This window comes from Homo sapiens, chromosome 19, assembly GCF_000001405.40.
Source record: "Homo sapiens chromosome 19, GRCh38.p14 Primary Assembly".
In the NCBI taxonomy this organism is placed as follows: domain Eukaryota; kingdom Metazoa; phylum Chordata; class Mammalia; order Primates; family Hominidae; genus Homo; species Homo sapiens.
The window spans coordinates 38,839,999-38,861,535 of record NC_000019.10 but is presented as its reverse complement, the minus strand read 5'-3'; the positions used below and the strand labels follow the sequence as shown (position 1 = coordinate 38,861,535).

General features: G+C 52.9%; 1 protein-coding gene across 8 annotated transcripts in view, besides 14 other annotated features; it reads left to right on the top strand.

Annotated features, from left to right (window-relative positions):
• Nucleotides 1,218-1,386: a silencer, noted in NCBI's record as "fragment chr19:39350790-39350958 (GRCh37/hg19 assembly coordinates)". NCBI's record gives its function as "represses an EF-1alpha promoter that drives an FKBP-Casp9 reporter gene in an ReSE screen in K562 erythroleukemia cells {active_cell/tissue: K562}" and the evidence as "EXISTENCE:reporter gene assay evidence [ECO:0000049][PMID:32094911]".
• Nucleotides 3,899-4,058: a silencer, noted in NCBI's record as "silent region_10587". NCBI's record gives its function as "represses an Ori minimal core promoter by ATAC-STARR-seq in GM12878 lymphoblastoid cells {active_cell/tissue: GM12878}" and the evidence as "EXISTENCE:reporter gene assay evidence [ECO:0000049][PMID:35858748]".
• Nucleotides 4,269-4,328: an enhancer, noted in NCBI's record as "active region_14599". NCBI's record gives its function as "activates an Ori minimal core promoter by ATAC-STARR-seq in GM12878 lymphoblastoid cells {active_cell/tissue: GM12878}" and the evidence as "EXISTENCE:reporter gene assay evidence [ECO:0000049][PMID:35858748]".
• Nucleotides 8,347-8,991: an enhancer, noted in NCBI's record as "H3K27ac hESC enhancer chr19:39343185-39343829 (GRCh37/hg19 assembly coordinates)". NCBI's record gives its function as "activates a minimal SCP1, AML or CMV promoter by ChIP-STARR-seq in primed H9 embryonic stem cells {active_cell/tissue: H9 hESC(primed)}" and the evidence as "EXISTENCE:reporter gene assay evidence [ECO:0000049][PMID:30033119]".
• Nucleotides 9,189-21,537, top strand: part of HNRNPL (heterogeneous nuclear ribonucleoprotein L) — a 15,978-nt gene continuing 3,629 nt past the window's right edge. The window contains exons 1-8 of one of the 8 annotated variants that reach the window (NM_001005335.2): nucleotides 9,189-9,240; nucleotides 14,102-14,220; nucleotides 15,446-15,683; nucleotides 15,801-15,886; nucleotides 17,432-17,528; nucleotides 17,622-17,694; nucleotides 20,977-21,048; nucleotides 21,160-21,440. In NM_001005335.2, the coding sequence (NP_001005335.1) occupies nucleotides 15,459-15,683; nucleotides 15,801-15,886; nucleotides 17,432-17,528; nucleotides 17,622-17,694; nucleotides 20,977-21,048; nucleotides 21,160-21,440 (834 nt within the window). In that variant the 5' untranslated portion in view covers nucleotides 9,189-9,240; nucleotides 14,102-14,220; nucleotides 15,446-15,458. Of the gene's footprint in view, nucleotides 9,241-11,549; nucleotides 11,837-14,101; nucleotides 14,221-15,445; nucleotides 15,684-15,800; nucleotides 15,887-17,431; nucleotides 17,529-17,621; nucleotides 17,695-19,853; nucleotides 19,924-20,976; nucleotides 21,441-21,537 lie in introns of those variants that run through there. The other 7 variants (NM_001533.3, XM_047438740.1, XM_047438737.1 and 4 more) reach the window with 7 other exon arrangements.
• Nucleotides 9,313-9,692: a silencer, noted in NCBI's record as "silent region_10586". NCBI's record gives its function as "represses an Ori minimal core promoter by ATAC-STARR-seq in GM12878 lymphoblastoid cells {active_cell/tissue: GM12878}" and the evidence as "EXISTENCE:reporter gene assay evidence [ECO:0000049][PMID:35858748]".
• Nucleotides 10,773-10,842: an enhancer, noted in NCBI's record as "active region_14598". NCBI's record gives its function as "activates an Ori minimal core promoter by ATAC-STARR-seq in GM12878 lymphoblastoid cells {active_cell/tissue: GM12878}" and the evidence as "EXISTENCE:reporter gene assay evidence [ECO:0000049][PMID:35858748]".
• Nucleotides 11,173-11,262: an enhancer, noted in NCBI's record as "active region_14597". NCBI's record gives its function as "activates an Ori minimal core promoter by ATAC-STARR-seq in GM12878 lymphoblastoid cells {active_cell/tissue: GM12878}" and the evidence as "EXISTENCE:reporter gene assay evidence [ECO:0000049][PMID:35858748]".
• Nucleotides 11,413-11,672: a silencer, noted in NCBI's record as "silent region_10585". NCBI's record gives its function as "represses an Ori minimal core promoter by ATAC-STARR-seq in GM12878 lymphoblastoid cells {active_cell/tissue: GM12878}" and the evidence as "EXISTENCE:reporter gene assay evidence [ECO:0000049][PMID:35858748]".
• Nucleotides 11,413-12,350: an enhancer, noted in NCBI's record as "H3K27ac hESC enhancer chr19:39339826-39340763 (GRCh37/hg19 assembly coordinates)". NCBI's record gives its function as "activates a minimal SCP1, AML or CMV promoter by ChIP-STARR-seq in naive H9 embryonic stem cells {active_cell/tissue: H9 hESC(naive)}" and the evidence as "EXISTENCE:reporter gene assay evidence [ECO:0000049][PMID:30033119]".
• Nucleotides 11,683-12,222: a silencer, noted in NCBI's record as "silent region_10584". NCBI's record gives its function as "represses an Ori minimal core promoter by ATAC-STARR-seq in GM12878 lymphoblastoid cells {active_cell/tissue: GM12878}" and the evidence as "EXISTENCE:reporter gene assay evidence [ECO:0000049][PMID:35858748]".
• Nucleotides 12,351-13,289: an enhancer, noted in NCBI's record as "H3K27ac hESC enhancer chr19:39338887-39339825 (GRCh37/hg19 assembly coordinates)". NCBI's record gives its function as "activates a minimal SCP1, AML or CMV promoter by ChIP-STARR-seq in naive H9 embryonic stem cells {active_cell/tissue: H9 hESC(naive)}" and the evidence as "EXISTENCE:reporter gene assay evidence [ECO:0000049][PMID:30033119]".
• Nucleotides 12,423-12,512: an enhancer, noted in NCBI's record as "active region_14596". NCBI's record gives its function as "activates an Ori minimal core promoter by ATAC-STARR-seq in GM12878 lymphoblastoid cells {active_cell/tissue: GM12878}" and the evidence as "EXISTENCE:reporter gene assay evidence [ECO:0000049][PMID:35858748]".
• Nucleotides 18,125-18,625: an enhancer, noted in NCBI's record as "H3K4me1 hESC enhancer chr19:39333551-39334051 (GRCh37/hg19 assembly coordinates)". NCBI's record gives its function as "activates a minimal SCP1, AML or CMV promoter by ChIP-STARR-seq in naive H9 embryonic stem cells {active_cell/tissue: H9 hESC(naive)}" and the evidence as "EXISTENCE:reporter gene assay evidence [ECO:0000049][PMID:30033119]".
• Nucleotides 18,708-18,787: an enhancer, noted in NCBI's record as "active region_14595". NCBI's record gives its function as "activates an Ori minimal core promoter by ATAC-STARR-seq in GM12878 lymphoblastoid cells {active_cell/tissue: GM12878}" and the evidence as "EXISTENCE:reporter gene assay evidence [ECO:0000049][PMID:35858748]".

Sequence of the window (21,537 nt, the reverse complement as noted above, 5' to 3'; positions counted from 1 at the left end):
TACTATATAATATAGTATATATAATATATGCTATATATGATATACTATATATAATATAGTATATATAATATATGGTATATATAACTATTATATATAATATATAGTATATATAGTGTGTATATATATAACTATATATATATTTTATATACATATATATTATATATATATATATATAAAATGGCCATGGGGTGGCAGGAACCTGTAGTCCCAGCTACTTGGGAGTAAGCCACAGTGAGCTATAATCACACCACTGGACTTCAGCCTGGATAGCAGAGCAAGACTATCTCAAAAAAAAAAATAAAAAACAAAAAACAAAAAAACAAAAACACTTCCTGGGGATGATGAATACTGTTTTTACCTTGTGGTCACTATCTTGATTTGTGGTGATGGTTTCCCAGGTGTATATGTAAGTTAAAACTCATCAATTGTACACTTTAAAGGTCTGGTTTCTCACATATCAGTTAGACCTGATTGAAGCTGGGGGCGGGGAAAGGTAGGGAAAGGGTCAGGACTGCGTAATGCAAATGAGAAACTTTCCTCTAAGGGGTGGCTTTCCCCACTGGTCCCTGAGGGTGTCTGAGTTTTCAATCTGAAGCACAGCAGACCGTGAAGCTATTTCTGCTTGGAGCCGGAGGAGGCTTAACAACAAAAAAGAAGAAAGCAGGTCGGGCACAGTGGCTCATGCCTGTAATCCCAGCACTTTGGGAGGCCGAGGCAGGCGGATCGTAAGGTCAGGAGATAAGAGACCAGCCTGGCCAACAAGGCAAAACCCAGTCTCTACTAAAATTACAAAAATTAGCCGGGCATGGCGGCGGGCGCCTGTAGTCCCAGCTACTTGGGAGGCTGAGGTAGGAGAATCGCTTGAACCTTGGAGGTAGAGGTTGCAGTGAGCCGAGATTGCACCATTGCACTCCAGCCTGGGCGACAAGAGCTAAACTCCGTCCCCCAAAAATAAAAATTTAATTTAATTTAAAAAACATGGGTGAAACTTGAAAACATGCTAAGAGAATCAGACACAAAAGGCTACATACTATATTTTTCCATTTATATGATGTGGGTGAAAGATTACCTAGGTGCCGAGGCAAGAGACTGAAGGCACAAACTGTTTCAGTATAATAAAGAAAATAGTTAGAATAAGAATAGTCATAATACAAATTAGATATAGAGATGATCATGGACAATTATCAATCATTATTATAAACATTATTAATCATTAGCTTTTAATATTACTCTTTGTTGCATTACTAATATACCCTAAGGATAACCGGTGGGTATAGGGTCAGGTGCTGAAGGGACATTGTGAGAAGTGACCTAGAAGGCAAGAGGTGAGCCCTCTGTCACGCCCACATAAGGGCCGCTTGAGGGCTCCTTGGTCAAGCGGTAATGCCAGTGTCTGGGAAGACGCCCATTACTTAGCAGACCGCGAAAGGGAGTCTCCTTTCCTTGGAGGAGTCAGGGAACACTGCTCCACCAGCTTCTTCTGGAAGGCTGGATATTATCCAGGCCTGCCTGCAGTCACCGGAGGCCTAAACCCCTCCCTGTGGTGCTGTGCTCCAAAGGTCACGCTCCTTGTCCACTTTCACGTTCCTCCCGTACTCCTGGATCCTCTTTGAAGTTGGTAGTAGATAGCGGTAGAAGAAATAGTGAAAGTCTTAAAGTCTTTGATCGTTCTTATAAGTGCATAGAAGAAAACGCTGACGTATGCTGCCTTCTCTCTCTGCTTTGGCTACCTAAAAGGGAAGGGCCCCCCACCCCCGTCCTATGATCACGTGACTTGCTTCACCTTATCAATCACTTAGAGGATTCACCCTCCTTACCCTGCCCCCCTTGTCTCGTATGCAATAAATATCAGCGCGCCCAGCCGTTCGGGGCCACTACCAGTCTCCACAACTTGATGGTAGTGGTCTCCCGGGCCCAGCTGTTTTCTCTTTATCTCTTTGTCTTGTGTCTTTATTTATTACCATCTCTCATCTCTGCACACGGGGAGAACACCTGCTAAGCCCCGTAGGGCTGGACCCTACAATATGAAATGTCCAGACTAGACAAATCCATAGAGACAGAAAGTAAATTGGCGGCTGCCGGGGGCTGAGGGGAGTGACTGCTGAAGGATATGGAGGCTGGGCACAGTGGCTCACGCCTGTAATCCTAGCACTTTGGGAGGCTGAGGTGGGCGGATTGCAACGTGGCAAAACCCCGTCTCTACTAAAAATTCAAAACACTAGCGGGGTATGGTGGTGGGCGCCTGTAATCCCAGCTAGTCCAGAGGCTGAGGCAGGAGAATTGCTTGAACCAGGAGGCGGAGGTTGCAGTGCGGCGAGATCACGCCATTACACTCCAGCCTGGGCGACAGAGCAAGACTCTGTCTCGAAAAACAAAAAAAGGGTATGGAGTTCCTTTTGAGGGTAATATTCCAGAATCAGACAGTGATGATGGTTGCATGACTATGTGAGCATACTAAAAACCACTCAACACTCAATCATACATATACACAAACATACACACACACACACAAAACTTCTTCCTCCCAGGTTCAAGTGACTCTGGTGCTTCAGCCTCCAGAGTGGCTGGGACTACAGGCGTGCACCACCACGCCTGGCTAATTTTTGTATTTTTAGTAGAGAGGTGGTTTCGCCATGTTGACCAGGCTGGTCTCAAACTCCTGACCTCAGTGATTTGCCCACCTCGGCCTCCCACATAGCTGGGATTATAGGTGTGAGCCACCAGCCCAGCCAGTCATACACTTTAAAAGAGTTAATATTTGGCTGGGTGCAATGGCTCACGCCTGTAATCCCAGCACTTTGGGAGGCTGAGGCGGGCGGATCACCTGAGGTCAGGAGTTCGAGGTCAGCCTGGCCAACATGCAGAAACCCCATCTCTACTAAAAATACAAAAATTAGCCGGGCATTGTGGCAGGTGCCTATAATCCCAGCTACTTGGGAGGCTGAGGCAGGAGAATCGTTTGAACCCAGGAGGCAGAGGTTGCAGTGAGATGAGATCGCATCACTGCACTCCAGCCTGGGCGACAAAGCGAGACTGCGTCTCAAATAAATAAATAAATATATAAAGAGTTAATATTATGGTATGTGAAATATAGCTTAATAAAGATGTTATATTTTTTAATCCAAAAAAAATCTGATCTCATCACTCTTCTGTTTTTTGTGGAGTTTTTTGGAAAGAAGTTATCACTCTGTTGCCCAGGCTAAAGTGCAGTGGTGCAATCATAGCTCACTGCAGCCTCAAACTCCTGGGCTCAAGTGATCCTCCTGCCTGAGTCTCCTGAGGACCTGGGACTAGGGGCATTACACCATGCCCAGCTAATTTTTTTCCTTTTTTTTTTTTTTTGAGATGGAGTTTCACTTTTGTTGCCCAGGCTGGAGTGCAATAGCACAGTCTTGACTCACTGCAACTTCTGCCTCCTAGGTTCAAGTTGATTCTTCCGCCTCAGCCTCCCAAGTAGCTGGGATTATAGGCACCCACCACCATGCCCAGCTAATTTTTGTATTTTTAGTAGAAATGGGGTTTCACCATGTTGGCCAGGATGGTCTCAAACTCCTGACCTCAGGTGATCCACTCGCCTTGACCTCACAAAGTGCTGGGATTACAGGTATGAGCCACCGCACCTGGCCTTTTACTTTTTTTTTGTAGAGATGGTGTCTCACTATGTTAGCCAGGCTCATCTAAAACTCCTGGCCTCAAGGGATCCTCCTGCCTTAACATTCCCAGAGTGCTGGGATTACAGGCTTGAGCCACCATGCTCAGCTTGTCATTCTGGTTTTTAACCCTCTCATGGTTCTTTTCTCACTTAGTAATAAGACCAAAGTCCTCATCCTCAGCCCGTCTCAGTGGGCCCCACATAACGTGCCCCCATCACCCCTCTGACCTTGTCCCCTCAGACTCACCCTGTCACTCCCTCTGCCCAGCCACAAAGGTCTTCAGTTCTCATGTCAGGGCTTTTTGTGTGTGTGTGTGTGTGTGTGTGTGTGTGTGTGTGTGTGTGGCGGAATTTCGCTCGTTGCCCAGGCTAGAGTGCAGTGGCGTGTGATCTCAGCTCACTGTAACCTCAGCCTTCCGGTTTCAAGTGATTTTCCTGCCTCAGCCTCCTGAGTAGCTGGGATTACAGGCAACCACCACGACGCCCAACTAATTTTTGTATTTTTAGTAGAAATGGGGTTTCACCGTGTTGGCCAGGCTGGTCTTGAACCTCGTGATCTGCCCACCTCGGCCTCCCAGTGCTGGGATTACAGGCGTGAGCCACCATGCCCAGCCGACTTCAGGGCTTTTGCATTTGCTGTTTCTTCTCCCTGGGATGTTTTTTCTCTAGCTGTTCCAATTCCCATGTGAACACATATGGTATACGCTCACATACACACACACGATTCATTCAATAAGGTAAATATAAAGTAAATTAAAATTAAAACCAGTTTTTACCTCAGATTGACAAATGTAAAACAAAATGTGCAGTATTTTGAGATAGTGGGGAAAATTCATTTTTTACATAGAAATGCTGAGAACTCAAATTGTTACAGTGCTAATGGAGGGTAATTTGGCAAAATCTTTCAAAATGCAAAATGTACCAACTTGCAAGTATTTTAGCAAACCACAACAACAAAATAAGTTAAAAATGCCATCTGTCTGAGAGAAATTAGAATGGAAGTTCCAAAACACCTTTCTGTAAAATGCAGCCAAATTAAAATGGAGAGGGAAATTCAGAGCCTCCGTGCTTATATTAGAAAAGGAGAAAGACGTATCAAAATTTAAGAAGTTTTGGAAAAGAACAGCAGAAGAAACCTAGGCGCTCTCCCTCTCCCTCTCCCTGTCCCTGTCCCTCTCCCTCTCCCCATGGTTTCCCTCTCCCTCTCTTTCCACGGTCTCCCTCTCATGCCGAGCCGAAGCTGGACTATACTGCTGCCATCTCGGCTCACTGCAACCTCCCTGCCTGATTCTCCTGCCTCAGCCTGCGGAGTGCCTGCAATTGCAGGTGCGCGCCGCCACGCCTGACTGGTTTTCGTATTTTTTTGGTGGAGACGGGGTTTCGCTGTGATGGCCAGGCTGGTCTCCAGCTCCTAACCGCGAGTGGTCCGCCAGCCTCGGACTCCCGAGGTGCCGGGATTGCAGACGGAGTCTGGTTCTCTCAGTGCTCAATGGCGCCCAGGCTGGAGCGCAGTGGCGTGATCTCGGCTCGCTACAACCTCCACCTCCCAGCCGCCTGCCTTGGCCTCCCAAAGTGCCGAGATTGCAGCCTCTGCCAGGCCGCCACCCCGTCTGGGAAGTGAGGAGCGTCTCTGCCTGGCCGCCCATCGTCTGGGACGTGAGGAGTCCCTCTGCCTGGCTGCCCAGTCTGGAAAGTGAGGAGCGTCTCTGCCCAGCCGCCATCCCATCTCGGAAGTGAGGAGCGCCTCTTCCCGGCCGCCATCACATCTAGGAAGTGAGGAGCGTCTCTGCCCGGCCGCCCATCGTCTGGGATGTGGGGAGTGCCTCTGCCCCGCCGCCCCGTCTGGGATGTGAGGAGCGCCTCTGCCCGGCCGCCACCCCGTCTGGGAGGTGAGGAGCGTCTCTGCCCGGCCGCCCCGTCTCAGAAGTGAGGAGACCCTCCGCCCGGCAGCCGCCCCGTATGAGAAGTGAGGAGCCTCTCCACCCGGCAGCCGCCCCGTCTGGGAAGTGAGGAGCATCTCCGCCCGGCAGCCACCCCGTCCGGGAGGGAGGTGGGGGGTCAGCCCCCCGCCCGGCCAGCCGCCCCGTCCGGGAGGTGAGGGGCGCCTCTGCCCGGCCGCCCCTACTGGGAAGTGAGGAGCCCCTCTGCCCGGCCAGCCGCCCCGTCCGGGAGGGAGGTGGGGGGGTCAGGCCCCGCCCGGCCAGCCGCCCCGTCCGGGAGGGAGGTGGGGGGGTCAGCCCCCCGTCTGGCCAGCCGCCCGGTCCGGGAGGGAGGTGGGGGGGTCAGCCCCCCGCCCGGCCAGCCGCCCCGTCCGGGAGGTGAGGGGCGCCTCTGCCCGGCCGCCCCATCTGGGAGGTGAGGAGCCCCTCTGCCCGGCCACCACCCCGTCTGGGAGGTGTACCCAACAGCTCATTGAGAGCGGGCCAGGATGACAATGGCGGCTTTGTGGAATGGAGGGGGGGGAAAGGTGGGGAAAAGATTGAGGAATGGGATGGTTGCCGTGTCTGTGTAGAGGGAGGTAGACATGGGAGACTTTTCATTTTGTTCTGTACTAAGAAAAATTCTTCTGCCTTGGGATCCTGTTGATCTGTGACCTTACCCCCAACCCTGTGCTCTGAAACATGTGCTGTGTCCACTCAGAGTTAAATGGATTAAGGGCGGTGCAAGATGTGCTTTGTTAAACAGATGCTTGAAGGCAGCATGCTCCTTAAGAGTCATCACCACTCCCTAATCTCAAGTACCCAGGGACACAAACGGTGCAGAAGGCCGCAGGGTCCTCTGCCTAGGAAAACCAGAGACCTTTGTTCACTTGTTTATCTGCTGACCTTCCCTCCACTATTGTCCTATGACCCTGCCAAAAGCCCCTCTGTGAGAAACACCCAAGAATGATCAATAAAAAAAAAATAAATAAAATAAAATAAAATTAAATTAAATTAAAAAAAAAAAAAAAGAAACCTAGGCTTGGTGCCATGGCTCACACCTACAATCCTAACACTTTGGGAGGCTGAGGTGGGAGGATTGCTTGAGCCCAGGAGTTCAAGATCACCCTGGGCAACATAGTGAGACCCCTGCCTCTACAAAAAAAAAAATAAATAAAAATAAAAAAATTAAAAAAATTTAAAAAAATTAGGGTGGCTGGGCGCTGTGGCTCATGCCTGTAATGCTAGTAGCACTTTAGGAGGCCGAGGTGGGCAGATCACTTGAGGCCAGGAGTTAAGACCAGCCTGGACAACATGGTGAAACCCCGTCTCTACTAAAAATACAAAAATTAGCCTGGCATGGCGGCGTGTGCCTGTAATTCCAGCTACTCAGGAGGTTGAGGCAGAGGAATCGCTTGAACCTGGGAGGCAGAGGTTGCAGTGAGTGGAGATCACACCCCTGCACTCCAGCCTGGGCAACAAAGTGAGACTCCATCTCAAAAAAAAAAAAAAAAAAATTAGGGTATGATGGCATGTGCTTGCGGTCTCAGCTACTCAGGAGGCTGAAGTGGGAGGATCACTTGAGCCTAGGAGGTCGAGGCTGCAGTGAGCTGTGTATGCATCACTGCACTCCAGCTTGGGGGACAAATTGAAACTCTTGTCTCAAAAGAAAAAAAAAAAAGAATGAGACCTTCTCATATACTGCTGGTGGGAATATATGGTACAGATATATTGAATAACAATTTGTTACTACCCAATAATGTCAAAATATGTTACACGACCCAGCAATCCCACTCCTACCTACATGCCCTTAAAACTCTCACACATGGACACAAGAAGATATCACTAGGAATGGTCACAGCAGCATTACTATTTTTTCTTTATTTTATTTATTTATTTATTTTTTACTTTTATTTATTTATTTTTGAGACGGAGTCTCGCTCTGTCGCCCAGGCTGGAGTACAGTGGAGCGATCTCGGCTCACTGCAAGCTCCGCCTCCTGGGTTCACGTCATTCTCCTGCCTCAGCCTCCCCAGTAGCTGGGACTACAGGCGCCTGCCACCATGCCCAGCTAATTTTTTTTTTAATTTTTTTTTTATTTTTAGCAGAGACGGGGTTTCACCGTGTTAGCCAGGATGGTCTTGATCTCCTGACCTCGTGATCCAGCCGCCTCAGCCTCCCAAAGTGCTAGTATTACAGGTGTGAGCCACCGTGCCCGGCCTATTTTATTTATTTTAGTTTTTTGAGACAGAGTCTCACTCTGTTGCCCAGGTTAGAGTGCAGTGGCACAATCTCGGCTCACTGCAAACTTCACCTCCCGGGTTCAAGCAATTCTCCTGCCTTAGCATTCTGAGTAGCTGGGATTACAGGCGCCTGCCACCACGCCAGCCTAATTTTTGTATTTTAAGTAGAGACCGGGTTTCGCCATGTTAGCCAGGCTGGTCTCGAACCCCTGACCTCAAGCGATTCTCCTGCCTCGGCCTCCCAAAGTGCTACGATTACAGGCGTGAGCCACGGCGCCCAGCCATATTTTTCTGGGGTGTTGTTTGTTTTTGAGACAGGGTCTCGCTTTGTCAGCCTCCACCTCTTGGGCTCAAGTGATCCTTCCGCCTCAGCCTCCCCAGTAGCTGGGACTACAGTTGCACGCCACCACGCCCAGCTAATTTTTTTGTATTTTATGTAGAGAGAAGGTTTCACCATGTTGCCCAGGCTGGTCACGAGCTCCTGGACTTAAACAATCTGCCCACCTCGGCCTCCCAAAGTGCTGGGATTACAGGGGAAGCCACCGTGCCCGGCTGGCATGGGTTTACAAGGATCTGCAAGGGTCCGATTAAGTTTTGTGTGGATTAAGAACGGGAGCGACCTGCTCTTTCAGAGGCTGCCCAGCTGTGGTAATTTTTCGCGGTTCTTCCACTCTCTGGGCCAGTTTTACTTCAACTGTGAAATGGGGGTAGTCCTCTAAGGTCCCGTTTCCATTCTCTGCATTCCTCATGACGACCCAGACGAAGCTCCTACTGCCATCCCCCTAACGGATGAGGAAGGCTAAGTTACTTTCCTAAGGCCAGAGACAGTAAATGCAGCTTCCACGTTGGAACCCCGGTAGGGTGGCTCCAGTCCCCTGCTCTGAACCCCCCATCTCTACAGCCTACCCCATCACCCTAATAAGCCCTGCAAGTGCAGTGGTGATGCGTCTGCTCCGGCGTCAGACCAGCCCCGCCATGCCACTTGCAAGCTGTGGCATCCTGGGTTAGTCACTTGCGTCCCTCCAGCCCATTTCCTTATGTGAGCAATGTACACCCCAAACACTTGCCTCAGCCAAGACACTTGCCTGACCAGGAGGAAAGATGCGCGAGTCTCAAACAACTGCGTGACTTTCCGTCTGCGGGGGGCGGGGGTGGATTTTTGGGGAAAAGGGACGCGGAGCCCGAACACCGCGGCTCCAAGGTCTTCCCGCTCCTTTCTCGCCTGGTTTCCTCCATTCCCCCGCGGGGCGACCCTCGGTCTCCTGCCGTGTCCCCGCTCCCGCGCCCCCTGCCCCCAATTTTTCTTCCCCCCACGGGGCTGAAAAAAGGTCGTGGTCCCTTTAAGGCCCGCCCCTCCCTCTCCCAAAACTTCCCAGTGTCTGCTCTTTTCGATCCGGGACGGCCGGTCAGGCTCGCCGCCGAGCTGGTAGGGGCTGGGGGCGAGGGGTGCGGGAAGGTGACCGGGGCACTGGCGGGCGGCGCCGCGCGCGGCCGGGGGCCAGGGTCCGAGCAGCGGGGTGGGGGCGGGGCGGTGGCCGGGAGCGCGGGGGGTGCGGGTCACCAGGCCGGGCCGGCGGCCTGGAACGTGCGGCGCCGGGGAGACCGTTCCGCCGTGCTCCGGCCGTGCGCGCCGGCGCGAGGGGCGTCCGGGCCGGCCGCGGGGGCGGGGAGGGGAGGGGCCCTCTCTCTCCCCCTCCCCCCACCGCATTCCTCTGACGTTGGGACGGAGCGACCCCGCCCTTCGTCGCGACCGGCCCGGCCTCCTCCCGTCACGCGGGCCACGTGCTTCAGACGCGGCCCCGCCCCCGTCTCTGTTCCGTTGGCGTGGTCGGATCTTCCTGGTGTCCGGGGGAGCTGACCGAGGTCCCCAGCAAGGCCCCCTCCCCTAACTTTATTTCCCCTCACCGGCAGAGCCACCAGGCCTGTCCCCTCTTGTATTGCCATAAACCCCATTTTTTCTGATAGGGTCTCGCTCCGTCGCCCACGCTGGAGTGCAGGGGCGCGATCACGGCTCACTGCAACCTCGAAATCCGGGGCTCAAGCGAGCCTTCCGCCTTGGCCTCCCCAAGTGCTGGGATTACAGGTGTGAGCCACCACACACGGCCTCCATTTCAAACTTAGTTTCCACCCGGACCTCAACTCGAAATCCCCCATCAGCCGGGCAGAAAGGTCCTGGAGCACTTTTGGGGCGTCCGCCGCGTTTCTCACGACGCTAGCTTCGCTTTTATTTCTTTTCCCCCCTTTGGCGATATCGTCACTTGCCAATAGCTTCGCTAAGGTGTTCCCCCCCACACCCTGCGCGGGCAGCCCCATAATGTTAAATGCCGTAGGACGGGATCCCGGGTTAATCCCCGTTTGACCCCGCTGCCTGCGCGTGATAACTGGGGCGCGCTCCTCTCCACCCCCCAGGCTCCGCCAGTTGGGCTTCGCCGGAGTCTGGAGATACCCTCCGACATTCTCTTGGTGCAGTGCGGGTGGTCTTACCCCGCCCTTGAGGAAGAAAGGCCCGACGCAGGCACAGATCACAAGAACGCCTCCCCTGTGCAGGGGGCTTGCACTGTGCCAGGTGCTGTACTGGGCGCTTGGTAGGTGGCCACCCTCTCCAGGGTCGGGGCCAGGACCTCCTGTGGTGCTCAGAGGGGTCGAGCTGTCAGGTGAAAACCACTGGCCCGAGTTATGGCTTTGAAGGGAATCCTGGGGGTCTGGGATGGCAGGGACCTGTTAATTTAGATCGCACGGACAAGATGACTTGGCCCTTAGCTCCTGCAGGAGGGGTAGTGGACTATTGCAGGTGGAAGGGACTGCATGGGCACACATGGAGAGTGCGCGGAAGAGCCTTCTCCCAAGGGAAACTGAAAGGGGTTGCGGCTGAATTTAGAACTGGACAGGGTCCGAAGACAGTCGGCAGCAGCGAGTGGTTTTCTACTGAGGAAAAGGCTCAGATTTGGGATTTTAACAATTCCTCCTAGAGGTAGAAATGAACACGGTATAGTGATGGCGACAGAGATACCCTGGGAGTTCCTGTCAATCTTGGTCTAGCCTTCCGGCGCACACACAGCGGTCGCTCCATAAGGGGGCCCCGCCTCTGGGCGGTGCCTGAAAGCGTATTTGCGCATGCGTTCTCGCCTTCGCTCGTTTCGTATACTGCACCAAAGAGCGCCTACCCTGGGGCGGGGCTCCCCATTTCATCCAATCAGAGCGTATCAACAGTCCTACCATCTGGTGAGAGGGTGCGCTCCACTCTCCATTGACCAATCAGTGGAGACGCAGAAGAATGGGCATCTGTAACCACCACTGGAGAGAGACCAAAAAAGGGCGGGGCTTCCTTGTCTCCTTGCGAAGTGGCGCGGGAAGGTCGTCATTGTGACTGGTGCTGACGGATTAGCGAGGAGACCAATGAAAGTGGGAGGGAGGCGGAGATTCTTGGGAGGTTTAGAGCGCCGTTCCTATCAGGTGCTTTTAGGGAGGCCAGCAGCGCCAGAAATCCGACCTATCAAATTGGATTTTATTTTAAGGCGGCGGGGTCGACGGAAAGACTGGCAGAAAGCGACCACCTATAAGGAGTGTCTCAGACAAACAAGGGCGGGCCCTCCTGCAGAACGGCGTGGGCAATGTCCAATAAGCGCGCAAGGCGTGTGGCGGCCTACCCTCCCCCCGCGGCGGGACCAGTGGCTCCCCCTATCGGGTGGGGGCGGCGGGTGACGGGCGTGTCCCTCCCCCAATGAGAGGCGGGGGGAGGCGGGTTCTGCGCCGCCATGTCGCGGAGGCTGCTGCCCCGGGCGGAGAAGCGGCGTCGGCGGCTGGAGCAGAGGCAGCAGCCGGACGAGCAGCGGAGGCGGTCGGGAGCGATGGTGAAGATGGCGGCGGCGGGCGGCGGAGGCGGCGGTGGCCGCTACTACGGCGGCGGCAGTGAGGGCGGCCGGGCCCCTAAGCGGCTCAAGACTGACAACGCCGGCGACCAGCACGGAGGCGGCGGCGGTGGCGGTGGAGGAGCCGGGGCGGCGGGCGGCGGCGGCGGTGGGGTGAGGCCAGGGCCCTAGGCGCTGGGAAGGCCGGGAACTGGGGGACAATTTCCCAGCTTGAGGGCATTTTATTTTTTGAGGGGGGCCTCTGCGCACGCGCCCAGGCCATCGCGTCGTTGACGGTGTGGGGGAGGGGCGGCCGTTGGGCAAACGGCGGGGTTTGCGCGAGGACAGGCGCCTGCGCGTGCGCGGGGTCCGGAGCGGGGTGTGGGGGAGCGCAGAGGAAGTAGCTCGTGAGGCGAATGGCCCAGTGCGCAGGCGCCGCGGGCTGGCGTGTGGGGGCCGGGCACGCGGCCCGGCCGGTTTTTTTCCCCTTTATCATTTTCTTCGCTGGCTCCATGCGCAGGCGCAGTGTTCCCGCCCGGCCTCGTGGGCGGTTAGGGGAGCGCCTGGTGAGCGGGAACGGGTGGGCGGCGGCCTTGTTCTCTAGAGTGGGGAATTCCGTCTGATGGCAGCTTAATCTCTAAGGCCCAGCCTTGTGTCTATACAGAAATGGATGTGTTTGAGCCTAGATGCTCTCATTTTTGTAGGCATTGAAAATGGGAAGAGGACTTGTGAAATGCACTTTTAGCCTTTTAGGAGTTGAGCGAAGCCTTGAAACCATCACAAGTTTGCTTACAGTTTCCGGGGATTCACTGGGTACCGAGGATTTGATAAACCAAACTATTTCCTGGCCATGTTGGAAGCATTTCGACCCCCTGTAATCAGTCCCTCCGAAAACACCAGTCGTTGCTTTTGGAGTGGGGCCCAGTCCCCACTCTTTCCAAAATCTTGAAGTCTTACAGGGCCGCCTATTTGCAGGGTTTTCCAGGGTTTAGGGGTTACGAGTTGCTAGCGTTTTAATCTTGGCCTTGTCCCACACATTTTAAAGACATCTTAATTGAAAATCCTTAACGCTTCCTGAGGTTGGGGGAGATACTGGGATTCCCGATTTACAAAGGAGGAAATGGGCCAGGAGAGAGATGAGATGAGGTGAATTACTGTAGGTGGCACAGCTAGTGAGGGGCAGGGCTGGAGTTAGAACTCCCATTTGTGGGAGCTGCTAACCTGGCGGGAGTGCCTCACCCTGTGGTTCGCGTGGATCGCTCCTGAAATAGAATCCAATTCTACCCACCTTCCACGCACTTCTGCCCAGTGATTCTCAGACAGGGGGCCGGCCCCAGAGCCCAGGAGAGGCGGAAGAGAGTTAATCTTTCTCCTGATGACCAGAGGCTTTTGTCGGTGGGTGTAAGATACTTCTCTTAGGAAGGAGCAGTCGGTTCTTAATGGTATGGGTTGGAGTCTCTGGTCTTTCTAAAAGACTTTCCATCCGGGAGTGGGGGCTCATGCCTATAATCCCAGCACTTTGGGAGGCTGAGGCAGGCAGATTACCTGAGGTCAGGAGTTCGAGAACAGCCTGGTCAACATGGCAAAACTCCGTCTCTACTAAAAATACAAAAAAATTAGCCAGGTGTGGTGGCGAGGGCCTGTAATTCCAGCTACTCGGGAGGCTGAGGCAGGAGAATCGCTTGAACCTGGGAGGCGGAGGTTGCAGTGGACTAAGATCACGCCATAGCACTCCAGCCTGGGTGACAGAGTGAGACTCCATCTCAAAAAATAAATAAAAGACTTTTCTTGTCTGGTTTTTCTTAGTCTGACCTAGGCAGTAATTTCCAAAGCAGATTTTGGTGGGAGGGCGATTCAAGACTAGAAGGGGTCAAGACTGGCCTGGCTGCCCCAGTTTCTGGGGCATGTGTTGTTTTTTGCCCTGACTGAACCTGGGTGTGAGTGGTGGGGAACAGGTGTGCTTAGCTAGATGATGGTGGCTCAGCCAGTTAAAGGGCAAGGAATTTGGGGCACATGCAAAGGGGATGTCCTCATTCAAACTGTAGCAGATAGCTGTTAGAGCCCTTGCTGCCAGTGTATCTCCTTTTCCAGCTACTCTTTTCCCATGTTTCCTTGGTCGAGTGGACCAGTGGGAAGAGAGGGGGGTCCCTGGAAGAACGTAAGATTTGGGACTTGTGTGGCCCTCCCTCCGTTATACCTTCCTCAGAAGCTACAGCAAGAGCCAGTGGGCAAGTGATCACCCACTCAGGACCACTGTTCTGCTGACCCAGAATCCTTCTGGGCTGATTGGCTTCAATTGCTGCCCCTAGTCTTTCCTGTGCATCCTTCACGGATGACCTCCAACTGTTTTATCTGACTGGGTCTACAACAGTACAGAGGCCAGTGGGGCGTCATCTTGTACAGCAAGAAAATAATTCTTGTTTTTGCTTCCTTTCTCAGGAGAACTACGATGACCCGCACAAAACCCCTGCCTCCCCAGTTGTCCACATCAGGGGCCTGATTGACGGTGTGGTGGAAGCAGACCTTGTGGAGGCCTTGCAGGAGTTTGGACCCATCAGGTACTGGGCTCAGAGGCCAGGTGTTGGGCTTCCAAAGTTGACTCCTGGGTGTCCTTGTGTGTCCACGATTTCTGGTTGGAAATAGTGATTTTGTTGCCATCCTGGTCTAGATTCTGTGGCCGCTCTGCTTTTGGGTTGGCCATTGTACTTTGTGTCAGATTACAGCAAGTTCCATGACCCTTTTTCCTTCCTTCGTTTTTCCTCTGCCTTGTAGTTTCTAGTCAGTGTTCTCTTTTTCAGACAGAGCAAGGTCTCGCTTTGTGGCCCAGGCTGGAGTGTAGTGGTGCAGTCTCACCCAGGCTCAGGCAGTCCTTCTGCCTCGGCCTGCTGAGTAGCTGGGACTATAGGCATGCGCCACCATGCCCGGCTAATTTTTACATATATATATTTTTTGTTTGTTTGTTTGTTTTGAGACAGTCTCTTGCTCTGTCGCCCAGGCTGGAGTGCAGTGACAATCTCAGCTCACTGCAAGCTTTGTCTCGTGGGTTCACGCCATTCTCCTGCCTCAGCCTCCCGAGTAGCTGGGACCACAGGCGCTGGCCACCCCACCCGGCTAATTTTTTGTATTTTTAGTAGAGATGGGGTTTCGCTGTGTTAGCCAGGATGGTCTCAATCTCCTGACCTCGTGATCTGCCCGCCTCGGCCTCCCAAAGTGCTAGGATTACAGGCGTGAGCCACTGCGCCCGGCCTAATTTTTATATTGTTCTGTAGAGGTGAGGTTTTGCCATGTTGGCCAGGCTGGTCTCAAACTCCTAGGCCCAAGCAGTCTGCCCACCTAGCCCTCCCAAGTTTTAGGGTTACAGGCATGAGCTACTACTGCTCCTGGCCAGTGTTCTTTCATTCAGCAAGTAGTTACTGAATATTTGGTGCATGCTATATACTGCAAATACAGTAGTGAGCTGTATCTGGATGCTTCTCTTAGAAAGTTGCCCTCCTAGAGTGATTTGCACTGTCATAGTGTAAGCTCAAGAAGCCGTCTGTGGGTGGCATCTGACAGTCTGGTGAGGAGAGGTCAGGAAGGCTTCCCAGAGGGACATGATGGCTCAGCTAGACCTCTTTGGCTTTTGGTACTACTTGTGGCACAGGGTGTTCAGGTCGGGGAACCATGATAGGGTTGCAGAGGAGTTCAGAGGCCATGGAGGAGTCAGTTCTCAAAAAATCAAATGATACCCTCCTCCTGTCTACATTTTCCTGAGAGGATTGAAACCTGTGTTCTCTCTGCCAGCTATGTGGTGGTAATGCCTAAAAAGAGACAAGCACTGGTGGAGTTTGAAGATGTGTTGGGGGCTTGCAACGCAGTGAACTACGCAGCCGACAACCAAATATACATTGCTGGTCACCCAGCTTTTGTCAACTACTCTACCAGCCAGAAGATCTCCCGCCCTGGGGACTCGGATGACTCCCGGAGCGTGAACAGTGTGCTTCTCTTTACCATCCTGAACCCCATTTATTCGATCACCACGGTACGTGCCAGCAGGCATTTCTTGTGAGGTCTCCCTTCCTTTTCTCCCCTTATTCCCTCCCCCAAGCCAGACTGATCTGCCAGTGCCCCTTCATCTTGCCTGTGTTTGCTTTTGCAGGATGTTCTTTACACTATCTGTAATCCTTGTGGCCCTGTCCAGAGAATTGTCATTTTCAGGAAGAATGGAGTTCAGGCGATGGTGGAATATCCTTTGCTGGAAAACAGGTGTTCCTTAGGGTAGGGACTCTTGCAGGGCTTGACAGTGGCCATTCTTTGAGCCAGCATGTGTCTGCTGACCACGGGAGTGGCTGCCATGTGCCAGATGCCTTCACAGAGCCCAGTGACTGAGTAGGGAGGCAGTTAAAGGACCAGGCATATCGTGTGGACGTGCAGATCTTAGGGGAGAGAGCAGTGTGTTGGGAGATACAAAGGAATTTATTTTTCTTTTTGTTTTCTTTCTGTTATTTACTTATTTATTTATTGAGATGGAGTTTAGCCCTTGTTGCCTGGGCTGGAGTGCAGTGGTGCGATCTCAGCTCACTGCAACCTCTGCCTCCTGGGTTCAAGCAATTCTCCTGCCTCAGCCTTCCTAGTAGGATTATAGGCGCCTGCTAATTTTTTTTATTTTTAGTAGAGATCTGGTTTCGAACTCCTGACCTCAGGCAATCCACTTGCCTCAGCCTCCCAGATTACAGGTGTGAGCCACCGCGCCTGGCTAGGAATTTATTTTTAAAGATGTTTATTCTAAGTTCAAATATGAGTGACAAAGATTTGGGGAACATAGTCTCAAGAGGTCCTGAGAAAATGTGCCCCTGGGAAAAGGAATTTATTTAAAAGGGGATATGGGGCCGGGCACAGTGGCTCATGCCTGCAATCCCAGCACTTTCGGAGGCCGAGGTGGACAGATACCTGAGGTCAGGAGTTCGAGACCAGCCTAGCCAACGTGGTGAAACCCTGTCGCTAATAATACAAAAAATAGCCAGGCATGGTGGTGAACGCCTGTAATCCCAGCTACTCTGGAGGCTGAGGCAGGAGAATCGCTTGAGCCTGGGAGGCGGAGATTGCAGTGAGCCGAGACTGTGCCACTGTATTCCATCCTGGGCAACACAGCGAGACTCCATATCCAAAAAAAAAAAAAAAAGGTGGGGCATGTGTGAAGGTTGCTGAGGAGGTGATGTCCTATGAGCAAATAGGAGCTTATACTCAAGGTGGAGGAAACAGCCTCTGCAAAGGTTGTAAAGTCAGAAGGAGCTTGTGTTGGATGGAGAAATTGAAAGACCTGAGGATTGCAAAGTGGCTGGCAAGCAGACGGGTTTGGAATAGACATTGGAAGAAGCTTTTAGGGCATCCTAGACAGCGTTGCGATGCTTGGGGCAGGGGCAGGAAAAAGCCACTGATGGACTTTCAGGGCAGAGCTGTAATCGAGTTGATGTTTCAGATTTAGTCGAAGGGTGTGAGAGGGCTGAGACGGAGAAAGTGGTGTGGCAGAAGAGGTTGCTGGTGGCCATGGGTCGGGGTGCAGATTATGAGAGAACTCTGGCCAGTGACTGCTCACCCGGGGCAGCGTTGAGTCCATCAACACCGTTTTGGTCTCTTAACCTGAGGCTAGTGGCTGGGCAGTGAGCTAATCCCAAAGCTTCCGTCTGTACCACAGTCTTGGGGTGCTACCTTGTCCTTATCACACTCTGGGGTAACTTGAAGCCCTTCTCAAAGATCTCCTGTGATGGGACTTTCCTTAACTTGACTCACATTTGACTCAGTTCAAAGTGCCCAGCGGGCCAAGGCCTCTCTCAATGGGGCTGATATCTATTCTGGCTGTTGCACTCTGAAGATCGAATACGCAAAGGTACATCTGGGAGGTGACTGACTGCCCCTTGTCAGCTTCCAGGTGAGCTGGGGCATGGCTGACCTCAAGTCTTGTCTTGTCCTGTCCTTGCAGCCTACACGCTTGAATGTGTTCAAGAATGATCAGGATACTTGGGACTACACAAACCCCAATCTCAGTGGACAAGGTAATCTTGACGACCACTTTGTTCTAAACATACCCGCCTTGCTTTCACTCGACTAGTGCACTTAATAGGCCTGGGCTCAGGGTTATGTAATGCCATTGGGCCCCCCATGGACATGGGAGGGCCTTGGGGTCAGCACTTGGACACCCTAGTGGGATGGGGGAGTGAGAGGCCTCCATGGGTCTTCACTGCTGCTTGGGGCCCTCCGATGCTGCTCAGGATACAGAGGCAAGGCAGAAGCCTGGATGGGCGGGGAGCAGGGCCTCACTGAGGATGAGGCGTGGGGGCGGCCTTAGAAACCAGCAGTGGCTCCTTTGAGAGTCTGGTGAGGGTCACTCACTCCATTCTTGCTGGACCAGGAATTGTCCTCTTGTTCTGCGCTGTTGAGAGGGTCTGATTTGGGGGAGTGACAGTGTTGGGGGGCGATGAGGTCTCCTGGGCTCTTGCAGTGAGCCTTGTGAGCAAGCTGACCCTGTGGAGGTGAGACACTCTGGATTGGACCAGGGCGGACATGCCTCACATCATTTGTAGAGGGGACGCAACATCTCTGCAGGTGGCCCAAATGGACAACTCCCTTCCTAGTGTCTGTCAAGAATGGTTTGCCTTTGGTAGCAGGGAGAGGTGGAGGATTGCCTATGAGAAACAGCGGCAGCCCCCCAACAAGACCATCCATCTCGGTGTCTGTCTTGGTCTGATACGTCGGACCAGGCCATGGGCTGAGGGAGGAGGCTCGATGCTGACATCGCACAGGCCCTGAGAGGCCAGAGCCCCCCATTCCTAGGCAGGCCTGTCTTGCTCGCCCTTGCATCTGGGAAGCAGTGGGCAGGGTGGGCTAGACTCTTCCCCAGGATCCTCACAGTGGGCCCTGTGGGCCTGGCTGCTCCCTCCAAAGGTCAGAGGCAAATTGGTGACCAAGTGAATGTACCAGAGCGGGCAATGGCATTACATGACTGCTAACAGAAACATGGCAACAACCATTTCTTCTCCAAGGAACATAAATAGAAGATGTGCAGACCGGCAGGGGCTAGTGGCAGGGGGCTGGCTGTGCATTGGTTTTGATGCCTCTCAGCTTTGGCAGCCCCAAGGCTGGGGCCCAAAAAAAAACGAGGGCTGATGAGGTGACCTGGAGTGAGGGCGGTGCTTCGCCACCCCTCAGGAACCATACTTCAGCGGCTCTGCCTCTGCACATTGCTCACCAACACACAGGGTAGAAAACCACTAGCTCTTCCTGGAGAGAACAGAACATGCAGCCTCCACCACGTCCCCAGAAACAGCCGCAGACTTGAGCTCACTACATCAAGAACACCACACCGCGCTCCAAGGAACAGCTACAAGCACAGAGACAGAGGCATACAGAGACAAAGAGAGAAAGAGACGCAACATGGCAGCAGACACTGCTTTTTTTATTAAACATTAAAAAAAAGGTCAAAATCCAAGCAAACTTGAACCCGAGAATGTACACAGAAGTAGGAAACACAGAGAACAGAGCTGTCCCAGCCAGCCAGCGAGCGATGCTCTTTTCGGAGAACGTTTCATAGACGGAAGTAGATTCCATGGGCCTCCAAGACAATAGGATCCTCTCTCCATTCCTCGCCATATGGGTTTTGTTTTTTAAGTCATTTGGTTTGGGGAGGGCCTTGTTTTTTTTCTGTTTTGATATTTTTATTTTTTCTGCAGTCACCGGCTGCCAACATAATCTGCACCAACTGGAGATCAGAAACCAAAAAAAAAAAAAAAAATTTTAACCACAACAAAAAAAAAATCAAAAAAACCAAAACAGACCTAAAACCAGACAGCCAAACAGCTCAGAGGCACACAGTTACCTGCTGCCGGGTAACCAGGCGCGCTCCCAAGGCCAAAAGCGCGAGCGTAGTGGGGCCACTGGCACACCTCATACCAGGAGACACGCACACGGAGCGCTACACAGCCAGAAGCACCGCACCACCGCACTGCAGCACATATGTGAGGAGGTGACAACATGGAGGGACACTACCCACTTCATACACCTTTATTTCCACTTTTCTGATATCTTCTGAGGACAGAACATCTGTGAGCCATTTTTGATTTAATCAAAATATTGACTTTTAAAACAATTCTTTAAAAAAATTGTAGCGGATGTGTACCGTGACTTGTATTTATGACTGTAAAACCATGTGATGCAGGGTCGCAGTGTATGTTTGATGGGACGCCATCTTTCAGAACTGTGCTAACTCACTGTTGAAGCGTCCAATGGTAAGAGAAAATACAGATTTGTTTTTTGTGACAAATGGACATTGTACTCTGTACTTCTGCTGTAAGTAGTCCTTTTCCATTTTGTAATGACTGGTAACAAAACCCAGGCCGGGTGGCAGGAAAGGGCAGTGGTTTCGAGCCCTGGGTTTTGGAGTCAGCCAGACCTGGGTTCAAATATGGCTCAGCCACTGTCTTGCTTTGTGACTTTGGGCCAAAGTGTCTTTTAACTGCTCAGTTAAAAGTTAACAACTCAGTCTTCTTATCTGTAAAATGGGGCTGAAATATCAGAACCTACCTCATAGGGTTGTTGTGAGGAATTTCAGAAGCTGTGATGTCTGTAAAGCGCTTAGCCCAGTGCCTGCCACTTAAGCGCTAAGTTAAAGGCAGTGATTACGAACTGCTGGGGTCGGGGTGGATCTGCGCCATTGCTGGGTGTGGGAATGTCGATGCCTTGTACATGATTGCTTATTTGAACTGATTCTGCTGTTGCCCTGCTTGTCAGCTACAGTCAGTCCCTCTTGGGCTGGCGGGACTGGGAGGGAGGGGGGACTGGGATTAAGAAAGAAGGGATCTAACAGAGACAGTCTGGAGCTCCTAGAACTTTGGGGGCTTTGGGGGTCAAACTTGCTTGCTTCCCTCTGGGGTTATTTTCCTCTTAATCTACTCTCCCTTCATTGGGAGTCACTTTAGAAAGCTGCTTTTGGCCCGCCATAATATATCAGCTTCTGTAGCAGCTGCACATTCCCCAGAGGGCCTGGGAGCTGGGCTTTCTCCCAGGGCCAGGGTAGGTGAGAGCACAGAATCTGGCCTTGTCCTTCACAGAACAAGGCCAGCCCTTTGGTATGAGCAGGGGAAGGAGAGTGGGCACCAGCTTTGAGGCTCGGGCTTCATGCCCGCCGTAGGTCAGATCACAAAAGGAGGCCCCACAGCCCTCGAGGAAGGGAGGGCTTGCAGTTGGCAGGAGCTGGGGGCTCAGATCAGCCTGTGCAGTCAGGAGGGAGGGAGAGACCCCAATTTCTGAGTGAGACTCCTAACTGTTTTCTCTCTCCACAGGTGACCCTGGCAGCAACCCCAACAAACGCCAGAGGCAGCCCCCTCTCCTGGGAGATCACCCCGCAGAATATGGTGAGGGCAGGGGGTTCCCCTCCGTGGACTCCCGTGGCTCATGTGCCCCTGCCCGCCGCCCGCCGTGCAAATTCTCACCCGTCCTCCCTCTCTTTCCTTCCCACCCCCCAGGAGGGCCCCACGGTGGGTACCACAGCCATTACCATGATGAGGGCTACGGGCCCCCCCCACCTCACTACGAAGGGAGAAGGATGGGTCCACCAGTGGGGGGTCACCGTCGGGGCCCAAGTCGCTACGGCCCCCAGTATGGGCACCCCCCACCCCCTCCCCCACCACCCGAGTATGGCCCTCACGCCGACAGCCCTGTGCTCATGGTCTATGGCTTGGATCAATCTAAGATGAACTGTGACCGAGTCTTCAATGTCTTCTGCTTATATGGCAATGTGGAGAAGGTGAGCTGCTGCCGGGCCCCCTGGGTTCCTCGCTGAGCCTCGTATCTTGCCAGTCAGCACGGGAAAGAACCAGGGGGGAGCCTGGTGTGGCGCTGGG